The 6,000-nt window shown below is 41.6% G+C and overlaps 1 pseudogene; it reads left to right on the top strand.

Annotated features, from left to right (window-relative positions):
• Positions 542-2,345, top strand: RBMX2P5 (RBMX2 pseudogene 5; annotated as a pseudogene).

Raw genomic sequence — 6,000 nt, 5'->3', positions numbered from 1 at the left:
TGGGACAGGGAGTGGAAAAGAGGCATGAGAGAAGTTTCTATGGTAAAGGAAATGTTTACTATCCTTTTTTTTTTTTTTTTTTTTTTGAGATGGAGTTTCATTCTTGCTGCCCGGGCTGGAGTGCAGTGGCACGATCTCGGCTTACTGCAACCTCCACCTCCCAGGTTCAAGTGATTCTCCTGTCTCAGCCTCCTGAGTAGCTGGGATTACAGGCGCCCGCCACCACGCCCAGCTAATTCTTTGTGTTTTTAGTAGAGACGGGGTTTCACCATGTTGGCCAGGCTGGTCTCAAGCTCCTGACCTCAGGTGATCCGCCAGCCTCGGCCTCCCAAAGTGCTGGGATTACAGGCGTGAGCCACCGCGCCCGGCCTGGAAATGTTTACTATCTTAACTATGGTAGTGAAGGTTACATAAGACCACACATTTAAATAGATGTGTTTTACTTTATGTAAATTATAACTCAATAAGGTTGGTAAAACACACACATACACACACACGCGCGCGCGCGTGCGCCACGAAGTATCACACGGGGGCTGCCTCGCCCCGGCACTGATACTTGAACGTTGAGCGCGAGCCCGCGGAGATGAATGCTTTAACTAAGGTGAAGCTGATCAACAAGCTGAATGAGGGAGAGGTCCAGCTTGGGGTGGCCGATAAGGTGTCCTGGCACTCCGAGTACAAGGACAGCGCCTGGATCTTCCTGGGAGGGCTTCCTTATGAACTGACTGAAGGGGACATCATCTGTGTATTCTCACAATATGGGGAGATTGTTAACATTAATCTTGTGCGGGACAAGAAGACTGGGAAATCCAAAGGATTCTGTTTCCTCTGCTATGAAGACCAGAGGAGCACAATTCTGGCCGTTGACAATTTTAATGGGATCAAGATCAAAGGAAGAACTATCCGAGTGGATCATGTGTCTAACTATCGGGCTCCTAAGAACTCGGAAGAAATGGATGATGCGACCAAAGAGCTCCAGAAGGGCTCCTGTGGGCCTCATACCTACTCATCAAGTTCGTCTGAGAGCTCTGAAGATGAAAAACCAATAAAAAAGCACAAGAAAGAGAAAAAGGAAAAAAAGAAAAGAAAGAAAGAAAAAGAGAAAACTGATCGGTTGGTACAGGCAGAGCAACCATCCTCTTCGTCACCCACAAGCAAGACAGTAAAGGAAAAAGATGACCCTGGCCCTAAGAAGCACAGCAGCAAGAACTCGGAGAGAGCTCAGAAGTCACAGCCCAGGGAGAGGCGGAAGCTCCCCGAAGCCAGGACTGCCTGCTACGGTGGAGCAGAGGACCTAGAGAGGGAGCTGAAGAAGGAGAAACCCAAGCACGAGCACAAGTCCTCAAGCAGGAAGGAGGCAAGAGAAGAAACAACCGGGGATAGGGACAGAGGGCAGAGCTCAGACACACTTTCTAGCCCGTACAACTGGCGTTCCGAAGGGCGTAGTCACAGAACTCGAAGTAGGAGCCGAGATAAATCCCATAGGCATAAAAAAGCCCGTCGCTCCTGGGAGTGAGAGTCTTCGAATCCCAGCGACCGTAGGCGTCACTGAAGACTGTTCAGTTGCTCAGTAGATTTGGAAATAATTATGTTTTTTAAATGCAGTAAAATTCAATTGGGTTGTTACTATTTTTGTATCTAAAACTTCTGGGGCCGGATTCTTTTAATCCCTTGAGTATTAGAGTCGAGAGGGCTGCAGTTTCAACAGCTAGATCCTGGCTATTTTTCCTACCATCCATTGTCCCTGTACCAGACTATGTGTCCTAACTTTTGGTTCATAAATATGGCTGTTGAACCCATAGACCCCAATTGAAGATGGAATTTTCTGGAAAGGGAAAATACCAGATAATTCTATTATTCTAGTCTTTGTGTTCGATGTTTAGAGACCAGCATCACGGGACCTTTCCAGTTACTAGTTTTGGACAGCTTGACGGGAATGAATGGGTTAGGAATTTTTTTTTTTTTTTTTTGAGACGGAGTTTCGCTCTTGTTGCCCAGGCTGGAGTGCAATGGTGCGATCTTGGCTAACTGCAACCTCCGCCTCCCGGGTTCTAGTGATTCTCCTGCCTCAGCCTCTCAAGTAGCTGGGATTACAGGCGCCTGCCACCATGCCCAGCTAATTTTTTGTATATTTAGTAGAGACGGGGATTTCACCATGTTGGCCAGGCTGGTCTCGAACTCCTGACCTCAGGTGATCCATCTGTCTCGGCCTCTCAAAGTGCTGGGATTATAGGCGTGGGCTACCACGCCCAGCTGGGTTAGGATTTTTAAGATCAACCAGCTCCATGCCCAAACCCTCCTGTTTAAAAAAAAATTTAATGTCTTTTCTTTTTCATTAAAACTTTGGTTAAAAACAACAAGTATCAGCTTGTGAGGCTGAGGCGGGCAGATCACGAGGTCAAGAGATCAAGACCTGCCCGGTGGACGCCTGTAATCCCAGCACTTTGGGAGGCTGAGGCAGGTGGATCACCTGAAGTCAGGAGTTTGAGGCCAGCCTGGCCAACATGGAGAAACCCCACCTTTACTAAAAATGCAAAATTAGCCAGGTGTGGTGGCGCATGCCTGTAATCCCAGCTACTTGGGAGGCTGAGGCAGGAGAATTGCTTGAACCCAGGAGGCAGAGGTTGCAGTGAGCCAAGATGGTGCCATTGCACTCTAGCCTGGGCAACAAGAGCAAAACTCTGTTACAAAAAAAAAAAAAGAGATCAAGACCATCCTGGCCAACACGGTGAAACCATGTCTCTACTAAAAATACAGAAATTAGCTGGGTGTGGTGGTGCGCACCTGTAGTTCCAGCTACTCGGGAGGCTGAGGCAGGAGAATCGCTTGAACCTGGGAGGCGGAGGTTGCAGTGAACTGAGATCACACCACTGCACTCCAGCCTGGGAAACAGAGCGAGACTCCGTCTCAAAAAAAAAAGTACCACAGGGGATTATGCATCCTTATAATATCTGAAATACACAAAGAAATGACTTGAAATATTTTGAAATTAAGTGGAAAAAAGTATTACAAATTACTGGCAAGTATTTCATTTGTTAACCAGAGCCAACAACTAGATTTAGCTTCCAGGACACACTTTCCAGTAGAAACTTTTAAGAAGCCAAACATCACTTGGCAATAAAATAAGAGTATAAAAACTTACCTTATAACAGGGTAAGGCTCATGTGCTGATAACAAATGCATGAACTCAGAAGATTTCAAGGCAGATACTAGAACTAATGACTGGAAGCTAGCTAAGAAAATCAGATTTTTGAGTAGCTGCTTTTCAGAAATAAGAATTGTGCTAGGTAAACAGAAGATGCCACTATACCTACAATGCTTCCCTTGAAAACACCCACATCCTATCATAAAGGAGCTTACAGGTACATTTGATGCACATGTTAGAAGTGTTAATATAACCTTTTAAAAAATAGCTACTCGGGAGGCTGAGGCAGAAGAATGGCGTGAACCCGGGAGGCAGAGCTTGCAGTAAGCCAAGATCACGCTACTGCACTTCAGCCTGGGTGACAGAGTGAGACTCGGTCTCAAAAATAAATAAATAAATAAATAAATAATTTTTAAAAATAGTTTTCATCAATAAACTCAGTGTTCAGAAAACACTATTGGAAAATCTAAATCTGACTATAAATGATACCAATATTTTTAGAATACAGTGACTGATTAAAATTGCCATTCTCTCTCTTTTTTTTTTTTTTTGGAGGAGTCTCCCTTAAAAAAAAAAAAAAAAAAAAGCACCTAACTTTAAAAATAAATATGTTAAGGTCAGGCATGGTGGCTCACGCTTGTAATCCCAGCACTTTGGGAGGCTGAGGTGGGTGGATCACCTCGAACCAGGAGTTCGAGACCAGCCTGGACAACATGGTGAAACCCCGTCTCTACTAAAAATACAAAGATTAGCCAGGTGTGGTGGCGGGCACTTGTAGTCCCAGCTACCTGGGAGGCTGAGGTGGGAGAATCACTTGAACCTGGGAGGCGGAGGTTGTAGTGAGGCAAGATCACGCTGCTGCACTCCAGTCTGGGTGACAGAGCAAGACTCCATCTCAGAAAAACAAATAAATAAAATTTAAAAAAATAAAAATATATTAAAATATTGGGTATTTTACTCTTAATGAAAATATATAATAAGAAAGACAACATGAAATGCTAAATACTACTGTTGTAAAAATAATTTTGTAACTATAATATTCATTTAAGGTATGTAAAACTAGGTGGTTAGTTTTATGAAAGTTCTTCATCTAAAGTTTTCAAATTTCTAAGAATTTTCCTTTGATTAATTAGGTATCATAATTGATATCGGTCCAAAGTTCTGACAAAAGATGTCAAAACATCTCTCCACACCGGTACGTGTAAATTTGGTTTATTCATTTTATTCTTTAAAATTACATTACTTATTTAATTAGATTACTTTTCATAACTATATCCCCCCAAAAGATAAACAACTAAATAAAAATTCCAATTTAGCCATTCCTTACAAGGGTGCCAGGGCTACGCAGTGGGGAAAATGCACTCTCTTCAATAAATGGTGTTGGGAAAACCGGAGGTCTATATGCAAAAGAATGAAGTTGGACTCTTACATTATATACAAAAATTAAGTCAAAGTGGATTAAAGATCTAAATGTAAGACCTAAAACACAAAACTCCTAGAAGACAATATAGCAGGAAAGCTTCAGGATATTGGATTTGACAATGATTTCTTGAATGTGACACCAAAGCACAGGGAAGAAAAGTGAACACGGACAAATGGGACTATACCAAACTGAAAAACTTCTGTGTATCAAAAGAAGCAACTAATAGAGTAACAAGGAAACCTATGGAATGAGGAAAAATATTCGCAAGTCATATATCGGATAAGGGGTTAATATCCAGAGTATATAAGGAAGTCCTATAACTCAATACTACCAACAAGAAATAACCTGATTCAAAATGAGCAAAGGACTTAAATACACAATTCTACAAAGAAGATGTTTTAAAAATCAACAAGCATATTAAAAGATGCTCAACATCAATTATCGTAAGAGAAATGCACACTAAAACCACAGTGACTTGTCATCTTACACCCATTAGGATGGCTACTATCAAAAGAACGGAAGGCTAGGCACAGTGGCTCACACCTATAATCCCAGCACTTTGGGAGGCTGAGGTGGGAGGACTGCTTGAGCCTAGGAGTTGAAGACTACAGGGAACTACAGTTGCGCCACTGCACCCTGGGCAACAGTGCAAGACCCTGTCTCTTAAGAAAAAAAAAAAAGAAAATAATAAATGTTGGCAAGAATGTGGAGAAATTGCACTGCTGATGGGAATATAAAATGGTGCAACCATTATGGAAAACAATATAGAGATTCTTAAAAAAATTAAAAATAGAATTACCATAGGATCCAACAATCTCACTTCTGAGTAGATACCAGGATAATTCAAAGCTGGACTTTGAAGAGATATTTGCATACCCATGTTCATTATAGTATTATTCACAATAGCCAAGAGGCAGAAGCAAACCAAATGTCCATCAGTGTTTGAACAAATAAAGAAAATGTGGTATATACATGCAATGGAATATTAAGGAGTCTCAAATAGAAGGAAATCCTGCAATATGCAATAATGTGGATGAACCTGGAGGACATTATGCTAAGTGAAATAATCTAGTCACAAAAAGGCAAATACTGTATGATTCCATTCATATTAATTATCTAAAATAGTCAAAATTATAGAAACAGAAAGTAGAAAGGAAAGAGGAAGAATTAGTGTTTAATGGGCATAGAGTGTGAGTTTTACAAGATAAAAAAAGTTATAGAGATCCGTTGCACAATAATATGAAAATGAATATACTTAACACTACTGAACTGTATACTTAAAAATGGTTAAGATGAGTTAGGCACAGTGGCACATACCTTTAATCCTAGCTACTTAGGAGGCTGAGGTGGGAGAATACTTTGAATCCAGGAGTTCAAGACCAGCCTGGGCCAACACAGCAAGACCTCATCTCAAAATAAAAATAAAACAAAA

Source organism: Homo sapiens, chromosome 5, assembly GCF_000001405.40.
Source record: "Homo sapiens chromosome 5, GRCh38.p14 Primary Assembly".
NCBI lineage: Eukaryota > Metazoa > Chordata > Mammalia > Primates > Hominidae > Homo > Homo sapiens.
The sequence above is the reverse complement of the archived record's forward strand: the minus strand, read 5'-3'. Positions and strand labels throughout refer to the sequence as shown.